This window comes from Homo sapiens, chromosome 11 (genome assembly GCF_000001405.40).
Source record: "Homo sapiens chromosome 11, GRCh38.p14 Primary Assembly".
NCBI classification, from domain to species: domain Eukaryota; kingdom Metazoa; phylum Chordata; class Mammalia; order Primates; family Hominidae; genus Homo; species Homo sapiens.
This window is the reverse complement of record NC_000011.10, coordinates 41,412,709-41,435,962: the sequence shown is the minus strand read 5'-3', so window position 1 is coordinate 41,435,962 and position 23,254 is coordinate 41,412,709. Positions and strand designations below refer to the sequence as shown.

Genomic DNA, 23,254 nt, shown 5'->3' with positions numbered 1-23,254 from the left:
AAGTGCTGGAATTATAGGTGTGAGCCACCACTCCCGGCCGGGAAATGTTTAGGCTATTTTCCTTTTACAGAGATATGTAAAAATTATTATTTGAAGAATTCAAGAAGTCTTGTGTTAAATAATCATGTTTAATTGTATTCAATTCAATGTTTTCTAAATGTACTTGAATATAGAACACTATTTTTATGGAACATCTGTTAACACTTTGCAAATTAATAGTGCTATATGAAACCCACTTGGGAAATGATGACCTACATAATAATTGTACTATGAATGGAAAAATATTTATTGACAAATAACCATGCGATTCTCATGTGAGCATGTGAAGATAATTTATTTTCTTATGACATAAGTTTCCGAGGAACATATAAGCTTTTGGTAACAAGTCATTTTAAATTATGTGTGTAAAGCACATAGTGGAATGCTTGTTCCTTAGTAGGTACTTAATAAATGTTAACCATTATTAAATTAGTAAATTCACATTGAGAAACCAACATCTTATTGTATCGGTATTGATCAACGGGTTCTCTTTAGTAATAGATTATGAGACCTTCTAGGGTCTAATAATTTTTGTCAAAGCACAAGAGGATTGCATTCCTGATTTGTATCTATCAATTATTTTTCATCTGTACTGATGTTTTCCGTAATAACAGTAGTTGTATCTCCACAAAATATTACTGGAATCACATTCTAATATTGTTCTAACATGAATGCTCTCTTGCACATACATCATATGGTATGCAATAATATCATCTTAGATTTATTTCATTATCTTCAATCCTGCAGCTCTGTATTACTCTTAGTGATTGTGATTGTAATAAAAGGAAGCATCAATATCCTATCTATGTAAAAATCCAGGAGTAAGGACCTTGTGGACTTTTAATTCTCACTCAGTCTTTCAGATGTTGGTTGCTTCCCTGACAAATGGGGCCATTCTCTTTATTGCTGAGGTTGGCTGAAAGTAGTCCCTGGCTTATAAAATGCAAGATAACTACATCCTTAACTGTAAAATGCATCCAGATACTGCTCCTTTCCCTCACACCTCAGCCTGAAAACAAAATAAAACAAAAAGCAGGCAAGAATAGAAAGAGTATTCTTAGCTGAGCCAGCATGATATAAATGCTGTATTACCAGCTGCTCACTGAGCCACAGCTGAACAGATCTGCAGACTTCAAGCTGCCCCACATCCTCCTCTTAATATTGATGGGAGAAAATCCCTGTGGACTTCCCAAGCAGGAAGTCTTGCTTACCGAAACTGACACTCTAAGAGAAAGGTGCACTTCTTGCTAGTCTTTGTAGTGTGAAAACTTCAGGACATAGATGGTAGGAGTATCCTTAGGCACATCGGAATAGTAGTGAATTCTTCTATTTGCAGACTTTGATGTGCACGAAGTCCTTCCCTGTATTTTGTATCATGGGATGTACGTCCTTCCCTGTATGTTGTATTATGGGGGCTTAAACAACCTGTGAAGATTATTTCGCAGATACAAAAATGAGGCTTATGGAAGCAAAGTGACTTGACCAAAGATTTTGACCATACATCATCAAAGTCTGAGGTTGTCCCAGATAAGCAAATAGAAGGTATTGAATACAATTTTCAAATTTTTTTGCTTTCTTAAAAAAAAAATTATCTGAAAAGTCTATTAAAAAAAGAGATTCCCAGATGTCTTTTTCTTCCCTTGACCCCACCAAGTATGAGGACTTTGCAGGTTTCAGAGTGAGAGGAAACCAAAGGATGTGGCAGTGCTTTCCAAATTTTTAATGTGTTTACAAATAAATTGGGAATCTGTGGAGGGGTCTGAAGATGTGCATTTCTAGGAAGATCTCAGGTGATGGTTGCCACTGCTGAATATCTATGGACCATGACTTGGGTAACTAGGTCTAACTGATTCTGATGGAAGTGGACTTGAATGCAGGAAAACTATGTTAAAGATCCCTCCATCTGACAATATTTAGTAAGTTCTATAATTGGAATCATGCTTGAATCGGGTTTGCCTTTAGACTGAGAAAGCTATCATAAATGTAAAATTATGGGTTAGTGGGAGCAACTTTTAAAAAAGAGAACAATAACTGTATTAGAGTGCTCTAGAGGGACAGAATTAATAAGATATATATTATATATATACGCATATATATGTATACACACACACACACACACACATATATATGGGAGTTTATTAATAAGTATTAACTCACAGGATCACAAGGTCCCACAATAGGCCGTCTGCAAGCTGAGGAGCAAGGAAGCCAGTCCGAGTCCCAAAGCTGAAGAACGAGTCCGATGTTTGAGGGCAGGAAACATCTAGCACGGGAGAAAGATATAAGCTGGGAGGCTAAGGCAGTCTAGCCTTTTCATGTTTTTCTGTCTGCTTTGTGTTAGCTGGCAGCTGATTAGATGGTGCCCACCCAGATTCAGGGTGGGTCTGCTTTCCCCAGCCCACTGACTCAAATGTTAATCTCCTTTAGCAACACCCTCACAGACACACCCTGGATCAATACTTTGCATCCTTCAATGCAATCAAGTTAAAACTCAGTATTAACCATCACACTATAGAAGCCCAATTTGGAATTCATGTTAGATTTCTTCTTTCAGGATCACTGGTTTTGATTTAAACATATCATGAAAATTGCATAGAGATCAAGAGGGGCAGAGTATGATTAAAATTATAGAGGGAAAGTGGAGTGTTATATATGCTTTGGTAGTGGTTATTTTTTTCTGAAAAACAAAAGCTAAAACTTATATTTTTGATAAGCAAATAATACCAGGACATAGATTTCACAACTAAATAATTTCATAAACTCGTGTTTCACATACTATTTTCTGAAAGTTTGTATTTGTTTCCTTCTTGGGCTATTGTGATTTTGGGCTATTACTTGGGGTCATCAAGGTGTTTTATTGAGGCATTGAGAGGAGAAGACACAGGGTGACCTTCTGTAGAATCCCTCCTTTTGCCATAGCCCAAACACCTTTGTCTCTATGCAACATTTTATCTTCTAAAACAATTGAGATATATACCTGATACCCCACTGTTGTCTCTAATTCAAAGTATCAAAGTTTCAGACAAAAGTGGGAAACTTCCTGCAGACTATAAAGTGCTTTGAGGGATATTTATGGAGACAGGGTTTATTATAGTACTTCTCCACCACAGGGGGGAAAAATGATGCCAGCCCTGATTTTGGTCTCATTACACCAGGATTTGATTTTAATGAAGGAAAATGATTTAATTATAAAATGTCTCTAGAGCACTGGCCATGATGACAGTATCCTATAGGGAGACTCCATGTCTGTGTGCCTGTGCATGTGTGTGTATGTTTGCTGTGCATTTCCTCTCTACATCTTTCCTTAATTTTTCTTTATTTTTCTACTATTTTCTCCACTTTGAGAATCATAAAATAGCCCCTAAACCACTTGTTTTTTGAGAACTTTGATACCTACAATATTCTTTTATTAATTAAAATCACATGATATCTAATGTTAATATAACCTAATGACACTGGCATCCTTTTTTCTACCCAGGAAAGCATTGCTTTAATCCTCCTCACCTAGATTTGTCAGCTTCTACTCTCATTCACTCCCAGACTTTGACTAACTGCTTCACACTCAAGTGGTAATGACTGATACAAGCTATTGTGTTACCTCTCCCACGGAAACCTGTATTTTAATGTACAAATAAAACGTTAAGCTAAAGTTTCCACTGCCTAATATGGCATTTCAAATATGATAAATTGGTGAGTCAAACTGAGTAAAGCAAGAATCCTGAAGCAATACCCATAGATGGGTAGGTACTTAATTTACCTTGTTTTGAATTTTTGTTTTGCTATTATTATCTACTGTCTCCTTTGTTTTCGTCTCAAATTTTCCAAGCTCTAAAAACAGCAAATTACTACCAATTATGCATAATGTACCACTTCAACCTAACTTTTCTCGCTGGTGACCACCCTTCTTGGCACATGGCCAATGGCCCCTCTAGCGGAAATGAATCCATTTTTGCAGTTCTTTTAGATGACATACTCCTAGACCTGACCACTAGATGTCTCTGTAACTACATGCTGGACAAAATCAGAGCGCATGGCCCACCACAAAAACCTAAGGTGGGCCATAAAGATTTATCCCTAAATCGCATATACCTATTGGCATTATAATGGAATGCTCTTAAATAAACATAAGGTAGTGCCACTAAGTAATGAGTTATTTGGTTATCTGCATGTGTTTATGTGTCTTAATATTGTCGGCGGTAGTTCTATCAGTCCTCAAGAGAAGCTCTGAATAAGAAATTTAACTGGGCATGTGTGTGCGTGTGTGTACGTGTACACACACACACACACACACTCTTAGAAATCTTGCTTCTTGCAGGTAGGAGAGACAAAATAACCAATAACCAATCTGAGAGCCCTATAGTCATATATGGAAACATGTATTTGGATGACTAGTTTATTTTTCAAAATAAAATATGATGACCAAGGGGGAAAATTGTCCAGAGCTCTCTGGATACAGTTGTTGATCACATTATACCTACATTGGTGGACCAGTCAGGCTCAGAATATGGCTCCTTCCTTCCTTCCTTCCTAAGGAAGGAAGATCTCTTTCTCCATCTCTTTTATTAAAAATTAACTTTCTCTCAGTAAGTGTCTGAGATTATGAGGCTCTTGAAATTTTTCCTAATGTATATTATGTTGGAGATTGTGACTGCAAGATTTTATTTTGGATCTTGGTTAATATTACTGTTTTAACCTTAGTGTTTCAATAGTACCTCATGTAATAGATTCTCAAGGAATGTTTTTAAAAGGTAAATGGATGAAGCAAATGGTGTTTATACAGTAGATACATGAAAATTCAGGTTAATGTACAATTAATATGAATAAATAATTAAATATGTGGATATACAAATAAATGTTTTTAGTCTTTGAAAAATAATACAATTTTTGCATTTAAGCTGATTGAGTAATTCAAATTTGTCTGACAATACACACTCTGATTAGTTGAGAGTAGTGCCACAACAATGCATTAAACTGTAAAAGATTTTGTGTATTACTTTATCTATCAGAATGTATTCCTCATGTAAATTCCATATATTATAGTGGTAGGGGAAAAAGTAAGATGAGAACAACTAGTAAGTAAGTGCCCTTAATGACCTACTCTCATGAGAAAATAAAGATATATATATATATACACAAAAATATAGGTACACTCAAAGTGTTTTACAATAACATATTTTTAAATTAACGTAGCATATCCTCACTGTAGTGATATTCTTTATAGTTATTTATGAACAAGTTATTTTCTCCAAAGGAACATAAAAACAAAATTGAGTTCTGTTCCTGTCCAGCTCAAATGATTATAGAGTCCACATGAGTAGAGGGGAATAAAACATTTCCTGTTTATCTGGTCTTTTATATTGATGATTTCCTATGCATTTGGTGAGCATCTCAGTATGTTGCCACAATCCCCTTTGAATTCCTGAAATATAGTCATTTCCTGAGGGCAAGTATAATAGTTGTCTAGGAACTGGCACAACAGTTTGAGTTCATTCTCTAGCTATCTGAGCATGTCCAAAAACTTAGAAAAGTCCATTACTTTCTTCATTTTCTTTCCCAGTATGAGGAAAAAACCTAAGGAGAAGCATAGTATTTTCAATTCTGGAGGCATAAAAATGGCTATAATAGCTGACAATTACCAATCACTTACAATGCATTGTAAATTATGAGGTAATGCATTAAAAATAGTTAGCATGTATTAAGTGCCTATTATATACCAGCTACATTCTTTGTTCTTCCCAATAATTAAGTCATTTACTCTTCAAAATCAACCCTAAAACTCTTATTGAAAATTGAGATACATAAAGATTAAAATCATGTTAGTACCCGTAGAACTGGAACTTGAAGCCAGGCAGCTTAGCTCTAGAGGTTGTACTCTATGTCCTGCACAGTTGCTTCCTAACATACACTTGAAATGTTTGTTGTGTATCGTTGGTGTGGTTTCTTTAACTGGCATGATTGATCCTCTCTAACCATTTATTACACAAGTACCATCATCTGCCTAACTTAGCCGGAATGCCATTATCTCATTTGGAAGCTTCCCCTTTCCTCCTATCTAACCTCTCCAGGGGATTTTCTTTTAATTTTATTTTCATTTTTATTTTTATTTTTTTGTTTTAAAGGTTGATTGAGTTTCAAACACCAGACGGCTAGAGAATGAGACTCTTCTTAATACACCACTGCAATTTCTTTGCCATTCTGCAGAGTATGTCTTTCATAGTCGGCCCTGCTTATTCACTGCAGTGGCCATGTTCTTGCTATTTGCCTCAGGAGCAAAAGTGATGCCCCAAGTTTAAGCACCAAGGTAACAAGCCAGGTTTTTCACATTCACATCCTCAGCCATTGTTCCCACAATGCAAAATTTTACCTGGGTTTCCAGACCTGCCTATAAACTGTGATAATAGCTGTCTTCTTCATCAAACCTATTGTAGTTCTGATTTCCCATTCCATAATGGTAAGTTGGCACACTTGCTTTCTTCTCTTTCTTTTAAACTCTGACAAGACTACTCAATCCCATGAAAAGTTTTCATAGTTTAAACCACCAAAGGATATGTTTGACATCAGTCCTGTATTAGTCCGTCCTCATGCTGCTAATAAAGACATACCCAATACTGGATAATTTATAAAGGAAAGAGGTTTAATTGACTCACAGTTCAGCATGGCTAGGGAGGCCTCAGGAAACTTACAATCATGGTGGAAGGGGAAACAAACAGGTCTTTCTTCACATGGTGGCTGCAAGGAGAAGTGCCAACCAAAAGAGGGAAAAGCCCCTTATACCTTATAAAACCATCAGATCTCATGAGAACTCATTCTCTATCAAGAGAACAGCATGAGGGTAACTGCCCCCAGATCAAATTACAACCCACTGGTTCCCTCCCATGATATGTGGGGATTACGGGAACTACAATTCAAGATGAGATTTGACTGGGGACACAGCCAAACCATATTCAGTCCTTTTTCTCTAAGAAGACTCATTGAACTCTGTGTAGATGTTTTACCTTCTCCCCAGAGGCCTTTATACCAAGGGTTGAAGTGATCTTTGCTTAGTCACATACATCTCCAGTTGTGGCCTTTTAGGGACTATTTAATTACATCTGTCTCCTCAATTAGACTACAAGCTAGTGTATTCAATGTCAAGATCAATATCTGGTTAAAATAGGTGATTAAATACTTGTGGGGAAAAGAAAGGAAGAGAGAAAAGGAGAGCGAAAAAGCACTGCCTCTAGTATGTTAGTTATACTCTTTCCCAGGAAAGAATCTAACCAGCAAAGGTGACAACATATGACAACCTATACAACGTATACCAACAATACCTACAAGCAGCCACTCAAACCTTTCTGTGACTTTTCATGAAACTCCAAGGTAATTTTTGTTCTAACAACAATAATAACTTCACCTTGCTGGGGATTTCATTATTGTTAGGCAGAAAGTTGAAACTCCACAAGGATATTAGTAAACATTTGAAACTTACATGACAAAAAAAATACGTTTTTTTGTCCATATGGGCCAGTGCATTCTTGAACATACTTAAATGCAGTAAATAGTACATTATCTACTTGGTTGTTTAAATAAGACTCTGAGAGTTAACCTTAATTACTTTTTTCTCACCTCCCACATCCACACCATTAGCTAATTCTCAGAGTTGACCTCAGAAATGAAAATTAGAAACATACTTAAAAATTCTCTGATGTCTTTCATGAGACTGGGAATAGAAACCAAATTCTTGAAAACTGCCTCCGGAGCCCTTCATAATCACATTACTTTATAATCAGCTACTCCTCTGCTCTCTTTCTCACCACTTTCTCACTCGTATCCATGTGAAGAGACCACCAAACAGGCTTTGTGTGAGCAGCAAGGCTGTTTATTTCACCTGGGTGCAGGCGGGCTGAGTCCAAAAAGAGAGTCAGCGAAGGGAGATAGGGGTGGGGTTGTTTTATAGGATTTGGGTAGGTAAAGGAAAATTACAGTCAAAGGGGGTTGTTCTCTGGCTGGCAGGGGTGGGGGTCACAAGGTGCTCAGTGGGGGAGCTTTTGAGCCAGGCTGAGCCAGGAGAAGGAATTTCACAAGGTAATGTCATCAGTTAAGGCAGGGACCAGCCATTTTCACTTCTTTTGTGGTGGAATCTCATCAGTAAGGCAGGAACAGGCCATTTAAATTTCATTTCTTTTGTGATTCTTCAGTTACTTCAGGCCATCTGGATGTATACTTGCAGGTCACAGGGGATATGATGGCTTAGCTTGGGCTCAGAGGCCGGACACTTTCCTTTTTAGCTCATGTATTTAAACAGCACCTGGCTTCCTACTGTTTCTAAAACATATCAAGCTTGTCATTGCCTTAAATCTTCACACTAGCTATTGCTTTTCCTGTCACTCAGCTCTTGGCTTAAATATCTCTTCTTCGTAGAACCCTAACTCAGCTTTCTAATCAACATTAGAAAATTAGTCATGCTCTATTACATAACACACATTCTCTGGAAAGCACATTTTATGGTCAGATTCTTTGTTGTTTATTTATTGACTTTTTATTGTCTATCTCTTGATGACAGAATCTAATTTCCAAAGAAGAAGGAATCTCATCTCTCTTCTTCACTACTGTATCTCCATGTCCTAAAAGAGTGTCAGGCAAAGAGTGGATACTTAAAAAATAAACCAGCAAACAAGAAGTAAAATAAAATCTCTACTAAATGAACAAATTAATAAACTTCCAGAACTCTAAGAACACTTTTCCCATCAAAACTAAAAATAAGACTCCCAATTTCAAATGCTTATAGAAAGGCATGTATATGTGCAATAGGTCATCACCTAAGTCATCATCTACCATAAATTCCTTCCCTCCCTGTACATCTATACCATTTCTCAACTAGAAAGATAAGATATATTTTCCTTCTCCCTGAAATTATCAAATTGGTTCTGTAAATTGCTTTGACTAAACAACTGCAGTAGAATTGATGTTCTGGGACTTTTAACTCAGTATTGAAGAAGACTGAATATTTCCACTTCTCTTTTGTGGTCACCAGCAGCCATGCTTATGGAAGCTTGTGCTAGTCTATTCAATGATTAGAGACCATGTGAAGAGAGGCCTGGGAAGTCAACAAGCTATGCTGAGTGTTCCAACCCCAGCAGTGTCTAGCTGACTCTAGTTATATGAGTAACTTCAGTCAATATAATGAGGAGCAAAGAACTGACAAGAAAGTCCTGACCAAGAGAACCTTGGAAAATTACTGCTGTTTTAAGCCACTAAGTTTCAGTGTGGTTTGCTATATATTAATAGAAAACTGAAACATTTAGCTAATACTAAACCATGGAACAGGAATATGTTAGGAAAATAGGCAGTGAGTCTGCTTGTTTTTAGAGGAACATAACTCTTGCCTAATCACAATGCCTTTGCAAACACAGCGTGGGCTGTACAAGCAACCAAAACACGAGCACAAGCTATACATTGCTGTCAGTTTGCTGCTGTGGTCCTAAAATATAAGACTACTTTGGGGACCATTTGCATGGTGATGTTTCAGCACAGAACTGAGCTGGCAGAAGGAATTCCAGGTGTGGTCAGCTCCAGAAATCAGCAAGGAGGTAATAACTGTTCTCAGTCGGAGTCCAGGATGCCAGATCATGGAAGCAGCCTGAGAAGTCCCAAGGGAACATGAGGCATCAAAAGCTATAGTTTATGTTAGAAGCTGTGGAACAAGTAAGAGAAAAGGAAGTCAATGTAGTTAAGTGGCAGAGATCTGGGAAGATGTCACTAGTGTGTTCTGCCTGGATTCTGCATAGTGCTGGCTTCATTCCGTGATTCCCATAACTGTCCTGAAGGGACCATCCAGATCTTGTCCCTTGTTCTGTACACATTTCCCAAAAGGTGGCCCCAGTTTCACAAACTGTGAAGTCACAAATCTATCAACGTATGGTTTAAAAGAACATTCAGTTTTAGAAGAGTGTTTTTGATTCACTGAGCTTTCTACAATATGTGACTGCATTATTTGAAGGCTTGAAAAGCTGGAGACTGGAAAAAAATTGGGCTCTATCTAAAAGGCAACCTATCCCTTACCCACGTGCTCACTCCCGATTCCACTCATGGAAACAGCTGCTTGAAACCCAGTTGCCATTCTTTCTAGATTGGCCTTGTACACTTGAGCACATCACCCCTCCCATAGCTCAGCTCCCCCATTTATAAAACCAGAGTAGAAATCCCTTCGTTATGATACTAGAATGTAAATTAAATAATTAGTAATTTGTTAAACACTTTGAAAATGAAAATGCTAAGTATTGCTATTATTTCAAGGGTAATTTATTTCTTCTGATTCATTTGTAATTATTTCATCAAAACACTGTTCAGTAAGAGCTGTTTGATGTGTAAAATGCCTTATGGGCCTTTCCTGTAAGACTTTTGTTATCGAAATTAGACGGAGGTCTTGCCAACTAGAACTCATTGGCAACCAAATGTTTACAATAGTATAAATGTCAAGTCACTTCTTTACTCAGCCAGAGGCCCTTTGGAAAACAAGGCCCAGAACGGTAATTCATCCCCGTATTTGTCTGTAATAGTCCCTTACCAGAAAATCAAGTAAGTACCAAAGAGAGGCCCAGGTAGCAACTGGGAAACCGACCAATTTGATTTTGGCCCTTCCCCTGCCCTTCACACCTCTCTGGGAACTCCTGCTTTCTCAGGTTCGGGTGCCTAAATCAGTCTTTCTGGTATTTACAGACAGCCTTATGTCATATCAGGAGATTAATTTGATGCACCGAGCCCCTTAATGAAATTAATCATGATGACTCCTGAACAATATATTTTCAAAGTACCCCTGGGAAAAGTGAGGATTTAATAGTTAACTTTTGATGGTCGTGAAACATAACCTGAAACAGCCAGTGAAAATGAGAAACCTTTTTGAAATCTAGACTTCAATCTTTAAAAAATCTTGTACATTTTAATTTTTCTCTGTACCAATCCTATTTCTTTCTGTATAAAATTAATGTTTAATACTATATTTGGCTACATTAATCATTTCATTCATTCTCAACATCATTTACTGGTTTTAGATACCTATTGTATTCAGCTACTATCTGTATAAATTTTCAAAAAAAAATACTTCAGAAGTATCTATATTCCTTGGGGAAGCATGACACTAAATATTACCAATCTAAAAGACTCTCAAGATAGCTTTTTGACCTTTCTTCAGGGTTTTCGATTGATTAAAATAAATGCGTATTATATTACTACCTGATTAACCTCTAAGCACATAAATTATACACATTTAAAACACAAATTGGTATCTTCTGTCAAATCTCGATTTGCTTTTGCTTTATCAATGTACTCCATCTTGGTACTTGGTAACTGGTCCAAACAAGCCACAAACCATGTCATCCTGAGCTCTGCCCTCACCCTCAACCCCCAATTTAGCCACTCAGTTGGCTGATTTTTTACCTTATTTTAAACTGATTTTTACCTTATTTTAAATCCTTCTATTTTTCATTCCTTAATGCCCTGTATTACTTGAGGTACTTCCAATTGTAAAACAGAGAACTCTCAACCCAAAGTGCTTTAAATGGTAATATAAACCTAGTGGTTCAAATAAATGAAAAATCTGAAGGTTGTGAGAATTTCCTGTGAGTTATGATACTGTGACTTGTTGATATTGTTAAAATCCCAGATTATTTATGTCTATCCTTTTCCCTTCCATGATTCTCTTTCATTTTCTGTTTGTTTCCCCTCTTAGCTATAAGATGGCCCACTTCAGCATCTAGGGCTACATGTTTATATGCTTCATCCTATCGGAATGGGATAGTTTCTTCTAGTAGCTCTCAATAAAATGAATACGTTTTCTTCATTTGAGAAATGAAGAATTGCTGATTGGCTTAATTCAGTGAGACTGTATTAGTCTGGTTTGACACTGCTGATAAAGATATACCAGAGACTGGGAAATTTACAAAAGAAAGAGGGTTTTTGGACTTACAGTTCCAGGTGGCTGGGGAGGCCTCACAATCATGCGTCCATGATTCAGTTACCTCCCACCAGGTCCCTCCTACAACACATAGGAATTCAAGATGAGATTTGGGTCGGGACAAAGCCAAACCATATCAGAGACCCTATCTGTGGCTGACATTGGCCACAGATGGACCTAGCCATCCTACTGTCCCTCCTAGCCTCTTTGAAAATATTATTTCCATAAAGGAGAAGGAATGGCAAAGCATGTCCTGACTCCCTGCCACTGTCTTAGTCTGGGCATTTGCTATGTCCTGTATGGACTGTTCTGAGATGTTTGAGAAGTATTTTGCTACTCAGTATCCAGTTCTCTTTTTCTTAATTGAAGTTACTGCTTCCATTTCTTTCTCAAACCATCTGTCGTCTATGATGTCTCCAGAATAATCTTTCTCAGACATCATTATTTTTATGTCACTTCTATAGTTAAAAACCATTAAATGACACCCCATCATCCACAAAGAGTGGCTTTTACAATGTGCTTTATATGTTCAACCAGAAAAGTCTTCTTTTATCTGCTTCAATACTTTTAGATATGGTTTTGTTTGAAGGAAAAGGTTAAGGATCAAGAAAAGTTTAAAAACCAGTGATCCACAGAATAAAGTTCAAGTTTTCTAGCGTGATGTACAGGAGCTACTATTACCTGGATTCTAACTACCTCTCTGAATTACCTCCCAACTACTCCTACCCACTCCATTTCTCATATGCCAGTGTTGGCCAATTACCCATGGGTCTCCAAATAATCCACACCCAGATTTCTGGCCCTCCACCAACCCTGTTAAATCTCCTTATAATATTTATGTTCATTCTTAAAAATTCATGTTAGTCATTGTGACCTGAAGCCCCAGTGTTTGTCACTATTACTGGGTATCATTACACTGTGTTGTACCTATTAACCGACATGTTGTCATTATTTGTATAATATTTGCATCTCTAGAATTTAGCATCTAAGAACTGCCAAGTGAAATTAAATAGAAATGAATGTATTTCCAATGATGAAACTAGCAGTATGGCATAGTGTAGAAAATGCTTTTTAAAAATCATTCACCCACTGGCATTTATTCTGCCAATGCTGCTAATTCAGTGCGTCTCTGCTGACAAATCATTTATTTGAGTTTCTGCTTTTTGTATTTCTTATTTCTTTATTAACTTATAAAGAAAAAGAAAAAAAATCTACTTGAGAAAGCTGTTTTAAGTATAAATTAAAATAATGTTGTGAAATTCTTTTTACATGAGTTGTATGTTGCTTAAGATGTTTTAGATGCAACTAACAGAAAACTGACTAAAAGTGCTTTAAAAATGAGAAATTATTATATTATATAATAAAACATCCTGGGGTGGAGTCGTTCTAGGGTTTGGTGTTTCAGTGGAACCAAGGTATCATGAAAGACTCAGGTCCTTCCATCTTTTTGCTCTGCCATTTTCAGCATTTTGACTTTTAATCCAGTGGGTGCTCTCATGACTGCAAAATAGTGGCAGTAATTCCAAGTATTATCTTAGCACACAATTATTTCCTCAAATCCATCTCTTTTGAAAAATGGGAAAGCCTTTGTTAGACCTGCCACTGGCAGATCTCCCTACAGGTCTTATGGGTAGCAACTGTCACAAGACCTTTTCTAAACCAAGTACTGACAAGGAGAAGGGATTGTCATAGTTGGTTCAGGCCAATCATGATTAGCCCAGGCTGGGGTCGGGAAGAGCTCAGCCCCCTGAGATGACAATGGTTATCAGATACTGAAAAAAAAATTAGAGTCCCATCACTGTGGAAAAGGCAGAACAATGACAATAGGCAGCAATTAATCACGACCTCTTCCTCCAACCCTTTAGTTATTACTCTAATCACTCCTATCTAGGAAAGAGAATACTCTACCTTCTCATGAATGCAGTTTTCTTCTACTGGTCCACCAAATTACTTACTGTTTATTTTATTATCTTCCTTTAAGTATCATTATGTGGCCATATGATTGGAATATGTATTTCAGGAAAAATACACAGCTAAAGATACAATCAGGGACAAAAGTCTCCTGCATAATGGACCACTTATCGGTCTCAATCTGCTCTGTCCTACACCCTCGAACTCCTTCCTGCTTAATTAAAACTGCAGGAGGAAACATGACTCCAAGTCAGTTTAGCTTCCCGGATCGACAATGATGCTGATTCCACATTCATAATTAATTCTCCCCAGTTTTAAGAATGAAGACTTGGCTGATTAAAGATTCTTGGTGGATTATTGCTGATGTTTGAATTGCTGAAACAATGGGCAGCCATGCAGTGTCTTTTTGATCTACGTAAACTTGGGATGTGGAAGAAGAAAAGAGGCATTTTTCTTTCCCCTCCAGAAATCTCACTTGACATTTAGCAAGAGACATTTGTTAGAATGTCAGTTTGATAAAACTGTTTGCAGAAGTCACCCAGCATTTGCTACTGAGCTATAACAATAGCACCATAATTACTCTGGGCAGTTTTAAGGAAAAAATGTTATCAGAAGGTTTGAGAAAAATAAATCCAAACAAGTAACCATGCTTCTCCCATATTCCTGTTGAATTAGTGTTTTCCTGACACACTCCCACTGAATCTGAACTCTGAATTGGTAGCAAAATTACCAACAGTTGCTATGGCAGATGGAAGTGTAGTAGTCCATATCAGAGGGGTAAGTAGTACAGCTGTAGAAATATCTCCAAATATAGAAGACATAAAGCCTATGGTTGGGATTTTCTATCTGGATGTCATTACATTAAGTAATAATAATAGCAAACAACTGTTTTTATTATGCTTACTGTGAATCATTAACCTAAGAGCTTTACATATAGAAATTCCTTTCAAAATTCTAATCCTGTAGAATGAAGACTATTAGTATCTCCATTTTACAGATGAGGGAACTGAGGCACAGAGAGGTAAAGAAACTTACCTGAAGTCATATTAGGATTTGAACTCTAAAATATTAATTCCAGAATATCATTCATAACTATTACATTATATTATCTTCTTATATATCCCAAACATTCATATACTTTATAGTGTGACTATGAGCAAGGAAATACCTTTTTCCTCATCTATTGAATAGTTGTAACAAAAAGGTGAATATTTATTGAGAGCCTATTATGTACCAGGCACTGTTTTGGTCATGTTACTGTTTTAGTTAATCCTCAATGTGACTTCAGACAGCAGGTGTAATTATTAACTCTTTAGAGAATCTCTTAATCTGGGAAACTAAGAAGATAAATGTTAAGTAACCAGCTTGTAATTAGTGGGGCCATGATTGAAAGCCAAGAAATCTGGCTCTGGATCCTGGATTTTAATGTATCTTCTCTCACTGAATAATGGTAAGAATAGCAAAATATATTTGTGAATTTTTCGTAGGACAAAAAGCACCAACGAAATTAAAAAGTGTTTATATTTTTGTTTGGGGAAGGAAAATATGCACTAGCAATGTATGCTTTGTTCTTTCTATTTTTCTTTCATTCATTAAAAGCCATTTTAAAAATCATTTTCCATGTGCAGCCTTTTATGGGGCACTGCGTGTAGAAAAGTAAAAATGGCATAGACCTTCTTCTTTAAAAGCCTTACATTTGAGGTGGAAAAAATGATTATGGAATCACACAACTTACAATATAGTGGATACCGAGTTCAACATCTATTATTTTTTCAGAAGTCTTCCTGTGAACTGCTTTTCCTCTATTTGTGGCATGGTGAGGAGGGGAAGGCTGTGTTGCCCCTGGATCTCTTTGGAGAAATGATGTAGACATTCATAAGAGGGTTCCTGTGGTGCACTTGGAAGGTTGTGAGAAAAAGTGCTTCATTATGATTTCAAGGTTCTATTATCCAAAAATGCCACCTCAAAAACTATCAAAGGCTGCTCTTCAGAAATTCAGTACTGCTCTGTACACAAAGCAGGATGTTCCCCGAGAAGAAAAAGCACTTCTCCCACCGCATCGAAGGCCTGCGGTATTACTGACCTCCCACATCTTTTATTGGAAGCTGAGGCCTTATAAGGTACAAAGGTGCTGCTTTAGTTTAGATTTTTCTCTTTGAATGATGGAGAGACTCATTTAGGGCATCTTAAGGCAGGGGAGTTTCATAGTATGGCAGGGATGGAGGCTCTGAAGCTTGAGTATCAGATGGCTTGAGTTTGAATCCTGGTTGCAATAAGCAGCAGCTCTGAAACCTTCATATGTGACTTTACCTCTGTGTTTCCATTTTTGCATGTGGTACATCAGTAAAATAACAGTGGTTTATGGAGAGTTTTGTGATGATTACAGGAGTTAATAAATACAGTATAAAGTACTAGAAGAATAATTAGGGCAGAGTAAGGGCTCAGTAAGTGGTAGCTTTTATTATTGTCATTAAAAACTTGAAACTCTTGGCATTAGTTACGGTCTCTGGGTTTCTCTCACCATTGTGACCTTTCTGATTTTCCCCATATATTTCTACTTGGCCATTTGTCTGGTGTCTTATAATCTCAGTATAGACATGGCCCCTCACAGTCTCAACCCTACCTGGAGTGTCCTTCTACTTCCAGCTTCCATTGCTAATTGCATCAATCTCTCGATGTTTCTTAGTCCAAATTCCTGAGAGACAAAATCTGCTGGCCAAATTCACTCTCTTGAGGAAGGACAGTTAGCCTATATTATAAGAGTCATTGTGGATTTGATACCTATGACTGTACAAATTGACTATATCATGGGTCAGGGTTATTTAGACCTGCTTGTTCATCAGGAGCTGTATGGGTCAGTGTCCCTTAGAAGGTAACATTTTGAGGCGCAACCTCTTAGTTACAAATATAGTCAAGTGGAAGGGTGGAGTTCAGGGACAGGAAGTTTGTATTTAGTAATGTTACACTGTAAATTTTTGTTCCATCTGTACTTTGCCTCTTTCTTAATTGCAACTTCTCAGTTTCAGCTTAAGACCAAGCCTGGTTCAACTTTGTATCTTCTGAACCAAGTATGATACAACACTGGGCATATTAGATATCTAAACATATTTTTACTAAACATTTTTGAAATGAATGAACACATACCAGCTTTCCTCTACTTTCACTTGTGAAGGTAATATTTAAAATTCATACACTACTTTCCACCTTAATTATTTCAACCATTGCATTCTAGACTCTGTATTATGACCTTAATTTATGCTATAGGACTTAGTTTTTCCAACGACCCAATCAATACAATTCATTGTCCCAATTTAACATATGAGCAAACTGAGCTTTAGAAAGTAATTTAGCTGGACCCCCGCTAAGCATGAAGCAGGGATTTAAATACATTTATTTTGTGTCAGAGCTCATGTTTTTCACATGTTATTATCATATGTTTGTGATAGTTCACGTTGTTGATGTTTCACCAACCCCCCTAGCTGGCGATATCTCTGAATATTTACTCTATCTTGTAACATGTTATCTGCCTTTCCATTTTTGTGTCATGGGCGCTTTTACAGGTTTTGCTTTCTGTTTAATATTACAGGCTTAAGTACAGAACATAGTGACCCTTCTAAACAGGAAGAAGGTTGTGAGAGACTCCGTTAATTCCTCGAGGAAATGCATTTATACCTGCACAAAATTTTACTTCCCTGCAACCATACCAGAGGCAATACTTGCTTCTATAGTGCACCTATTCCCCATCACCTTGTTTTAAGTGTAGGGGTAATATTTCTTGTGAATGGCTAATTTCACAAGAAGGACTGACTGGAAACAGTGGAATATTTTCTCATAGTTTTGAAAAAGTTTATATTTGTGTCTCAGGGTTAAACATATCGGATTTCAGATATGTCTATGTAAATCTGATAATTCTTGTAAAAGTCTATTGCTTAAAGTGGCAGTATTACATTTTTCAGCACAGGTTATGGCAGACATGAAGCTGGGATTAAGTAGAAAGGAATATTTGAGCTAGCCAAGTAATTTTCTAATAGAGTTTAAGAGCTATGATCCAGCATATGTGTGTGTGGGGGGGTCTATGTGTGTGTGTATATGTATATATATACACGTATATATTTGTATATATTTGTATATATACGTATATATATATGCACACACACACACACATACACCATATATATGGTGTTTGTTGAGAAAAGAAATATTAGCTAGGATAGCAACAGCAATGAATAGAAAAAAATAGGGATTAAAGCATAATATGTATAGTGTACAGAAAAATGAGCATCAGGGACACTTTTTTAGGCAAATAAAAATCTGTATCTAGTACTGACTTGCCTAGTATAGTTGTTATTTGATAGAAGAGCTAGATAATTGGAGATTAAGGGAGCTGGATGTTGGTAAAACTCAAACAATATATTCCATTTGAAAAAGCTGGAAACCTTTAAGGGCTGGGCTGATTAACTTTAGATCCTGGTCCTGAGGGCCTGTGCTAATTTGCTGATCTGCAGATTTGCATGATTGCTAGTCACAACTGAGAAAGTAAGTTTAGACCTATGCCAAACTCTTCCGTAGTGGTTTTTAGTAAGAAACTTGCTTTTTCAAGGGTCACTACATGTAATCTGAGGCATGGGATACATTGTCACGCAAAGCATTCAAGCACCTCTCTGCTTTTAGATCTAGGATTATAAAAGAAAAGTGATATTTTTGTTTACCACAGTCAACTTTTATTTAGGTCAACTAGTTTAAATCATGTTGTTGGTTCACTCTCAGGGCCCTATGGCTGATTCTTAGGTCACTTTAGCCATTGCTACAACTTCTCCTAGTATCCTGCAGTCATAATTCACTGTTTTTCATTTATATCCTATTTCCGGGCATTAAGTGTTGTCACTGAGTATATATCCTGTGATTGCTAGCATCGCAGTAACAGTCAATAGTATTGATGGCATTTCCTCACAATTTCCTAGATAATTGTGCTATTTTAATTAGAGTGTGGATAGGCCTATAAATGAGTTGCTAGACTTCTCAGTAAGGAGCATCTATTTCTATTTTAATTCACTACTGGTATTCTTTAAGGAAATGCCAAAATGCTTTCCATCTGGAATTAGGAATCCTTTATTTTCATTGGGGAAATGTGTGCTACTGGGAAACTCTTTAGTTTGGCTCATTACTCAGTTGCCACGCCACAAGAGATGGAAAACATCAGAAATGAAAACACCTCAAATGACACCAGGGGTATGTAGAGAATTTTCGAGTACTTTTGATGCGTTTTCACACATAGTATGTAAAAAGTCTCATAGCAGCGCTATGAAGTAGTTAGGTAGATATTATAATATTTACACTTTCTAAAATAAGAAAAGCAGTTAGACACATCATGGTTATGTATTCACTTTAGTAAAGTCCCTTGGTACATTAATTTCAGAGCCAGCTGCCCTGACTTGAAACCCATACTCCTTCCCTTGCACGCACTGTCCCCCAGCCATGAGATTCAGAAAAGAAAACATAGTAAAGTGTCCGTAACATGAAGTACAGGAAGAAAGATTTGCTTTGCTTTGTTTAGATCATGAGTTCTATATTAATGCTACATCAATACAGAAGCGGTTCAGTGATGGGAAAATCACAAAAGCTGAAGTCAGAAGGCCTGATGTTCCTTTCTTGGTTTTGCCAACCAAGTTTTAGGACTTTGTGCATTTACCCTTTTGACCTCAATTTCTTCATTGTACTATTAAGATTGATAATATGGTTTATAGTGATAGATGAACCACTCAACATAACAGTTTGTTGGAGTTCACTGTCAGAGAAGGTTCTTAAAAATAGCCTAGCTCCCATGTAAAACGGTGGGAAGTGTGAGTAGGGGTGGATGGAATTATTTGCCCCGGTTGTTCCATTTTTTCCTCTTCTCCTCTGAGATTCTGTATTATAGAGTACACATACTCACAAATCGGAGAAATGAAACAAATTAACAGCTTTATATGACTCTCTGAAAAATGGTAATACCGAGGGATATGATGCAGCTTCCTATCTCCTTCCCCAAACCTAGACCTGGAGCCCCAGATGATCAGAATCAGCCACCCAGTATCAAGCAAAGAAGCTCAAAGAGAGAGAGAGAGGAGAAACCTGGCAGAGTTCTCTGCTAACATCTACCACACCTGGACTTGGACAAGTCAGAAATAATCCTCCTTACCTCTGATTTACAGTGCACAGAAAGAGCTCAAAAGCAGTCTATATTCTCATTCCTCCTCTGATCCAAGAGTTAGCTTAATGAAATGAAAGTTTTCATTGAAACATATCCTATACATTATGAGGTTTAGAAGCATTCATAAAATCACAGAATATCAGTGTTGCAAACGAATTTAGATATCATCCATCTATTAGACATGGAACTCTTTACAACATCTCATAAAAATCCAACATCTAAAATGAATTAAAACGTTGCTGCTCTCTTAAACTGAGTACAGACTCGAGGCTTTTACCCATCCATGTTGGGGACACACAGTACTCTCAGAACATACTTTGAAAACCATGGATCTAATCCAAGCAGTTCATTTCACATAAAGAGACTGAAACCATAAATTAGATTAAATCATTTTCCCAAGTCACATAGTGAATTAGCGGTTAAACTTGAACAAGGACTTAAATTTTTACTCCTAATTCAGAATGCTTTCTAATTCAAAACACTACACCGCTTTGCTCAGTCATTCGGGGACTCCTCTTTGGAAATTAGTTTACTATGAAGAGGCAAACCTCAAACCTTCTGTCCATTCACTCCCTGGACTATCTATCTGTGTTTTCTGCTGATAACACCCGTCCATAACTACCTGGCACTTACAGGAAGTACTTGCCTACATAGGGTTTGTGGCTGGAGGAGAATTAGAGTGTGGGAAATTTACTTTTGGTTTAAATGCCTTAAATACTTCTAAACCCAACTCATTCTGATTCAAGTCCTGCTAGTTACTTATAGTTGTTTACTTATGAGCATCTTTTGCATTGAAAACAAGGCTAGAGAGTAATTTCCAGCAGATGCACTGTATGTGGAAAGAAGATTGTGTCTAAATAGGCTACTTTTTCAAGTTTTAATTGGCCTAATTACTTCATGTTTGTAAAGTGCTTTGAAGAGGAAAGGTGCTATATTAGTGTTGCCTGTTATTATTTTAGTTCCCCAAGCAGCATTTGCTGGTTCCTTAAATTGCCTCTCTTGAAGTGACCTAATAATCAAATTGCTGGGGAAGATTTCTTCTTTTTCTTTTTCTTTTTCTTTTTTTAGAGTACCATTATTCAAACCAAAGTTAGGAGACTAATGACGTATAGCACAATCTTTTATTTTGGCTAATTCTACTTTCCTATTATCTTTCTCGAGTTGAGGAAGAATTGAACCTTTACTCCCCACTTCTCTCCCAGGTTTTATCTTTTTAAGTGTTGAAGCCTGGTTTTTCCAGAGGCCATTCTCTGCCAGTAAAATGTTCTGTTCTGAACCTCTCCAAAAACCAGGACTCCTGGAGCAACTTGAAGAAAACATTACAGACTTTAATGGAAGACTAGAAAAAAAAAAGAGCCATTTTTACCTTTTAGCCCCACCTTTGCAATGGCAAGGGTGGGAGGAAGAGACTGCAAGAGAGAATCACAAGTTGTTGATGCTATTCGTGAATAAAAAATCCCAGAGGTATTTTCTGTCTTGTGACACCAGACTTTTTTCTCCACCTATAAAAGAGAGCTCTCTTTCACGTGTGGCATAGTAAAGAAATGGTTTAATTTTAAAGAAAACATTCTTGATTTCCAAATTAGATAAGAGAGGAGCTTGTTTGTAGGTTGTGGGGAGGAATCTTGCCTCTTCTTTTTTCTCAAATGCAATACAGTCAATTCAAATTCGGGAACATAGGAAGTAACACACTTATCAAGAGCTGTCAGGCATTGAGTGTGTCCTATGTTCCAAGCAATGTGCTAGGCATTATTTATACCATCCTTTCCGTTTTCACAACAACCTCAGGCTGCTTTTACAGGTGAGAATGTAGCAAGTCAGAGAAAATGAGCACTTGCCTAAATCACACAGGGTGGAAGTGAAAGTTAGAACAGAAACCCAGATGTGTCTGACTACAAAGCACTAAAGCAGGTTTCTTTGAAAGTAAGCCCTAAGCATGTTGTAAGCATTGCTAGGAGGCTCCAAGTTAGATATCTCATTTAGTGATTACCATAGCTCCGTTGTGATATTTGTAAGTTTCTCACAAATCTTGCTATAGGAAACAAGCCCAGAGTTGTCAAAAAACATTGTTTGAGTTACACATCTGTTAAGTGACAACACCTTGATTTAAACTCCAGCATCACGCAATTTTTGCTTTTTGACTTTTTCACAAATTTCAGGGGCAATTGTGCCTTACTTTTATGCCATAGATGTGTTTATTTCTGGACCAGTGTTAGTTACAGAAAACCAAAGGGTCACATTTCCAGCTAGACAATACACCAAGCTTTCCAAGAAGGACTCAATGGCTGAAACATGGATGGACAAGTTATCTGGCTTATTGATTAAATTGCCAAACATTTCTAAACTCAGATTCTTCTGAGGTTAATGTCAGAGAGTTATGTATGGTCATATTGTTTTCTTGGTATTGTCTTTTGCAATAATGATAATTTTAATCACAACAACAATAGCTAACTTTGAACAAGTGTTTATCATGTGTCATTCCAACCACTTTTCATTCCAACCACTTTTCATTAATTAACTAATCCTTAGACCAACTCCCATAATTGGTATTACCATTAACCCTACTTTACAAAAAAGTAAAACCACATGGTGGTTTCAGTGAGTGGAAGGATAATTGAATCTAAGCCTAAAATGGAATCTTTGCAGAATCCATTCTTTGTGGAAGAAAAAATCTTTTGAGAATGTTGAGACTTTTTCCATTCCTTGTATGAACAGTTGTACTTCATAATTCGGGGTTCTCTAGTAAATCAAACCATCCTCATTCTCTACATTCTGTAACTTTCCTGCTCTAATCAATTTGTTAAAGCTCAACAGCAATGGAAGTAAAAAAGAAAAAAAAGAAGAAAAGAAAAAAAAGTAAGAAAAATAAACATGCCAATCAGAACAATAAATTTGAAAAAGAAAAGAAAATTAGGATAGAAATAGAGCAACAGCAACATTTGAAGGACAAAATTAACAAATGAGAGAGGGGCTGGAATGAAGGGAGGAAAAGGCTGTTAGGGGCAGATTGTGCAGATCTGAGCAGAATCTCATGTCTCTTTGAGAGTTCATTCCTTTTTGAGAATTAGTGGCCTGAACCACATTCTCATTTCCAGTCTCTCTCTGTCTGAGTTTCTGCTGTATTTTGTATCATCATGGAAGTTAAGGGCTCCTAGTACACAGACTGAGTTCTAAAAACTAAA

General features: G+C 37.0%; 1 protein-coding gene across 17 annotated transcripts in view, besides 1 other annotated feature; it reads left to right on the top strand.

Annotated features, from left to right (window-relative positions):
* LRRC4C (leucine rich repeat containing 4C) overlaps positions 1-23,254 on the top strand; it is a 1,345,454-nt gene that overhangs the window by 23,690 nt on the left and 1,298,510 nt on the right. The gene's annotated exons all lie outside the window — the stretch shown is intronic.
* Positions 7,949-8,550: an enhancer, noted in NCBI's record as "NANOG hESC enhancer chr11:41448963-41449564 (GRCh37/hg19 assembly coordinates)". NCBI's record gives its function as "activates a minimal SCP1, AML or CMV promoter by ChIP-STARR-seq in primed H9 embryonic stem cells {active_cell/tissue: H9 hESC(primed)}" and the evidence as "EXISTENCE:reporter gene assay evidence [ECO:0000049][PMID:30033119]".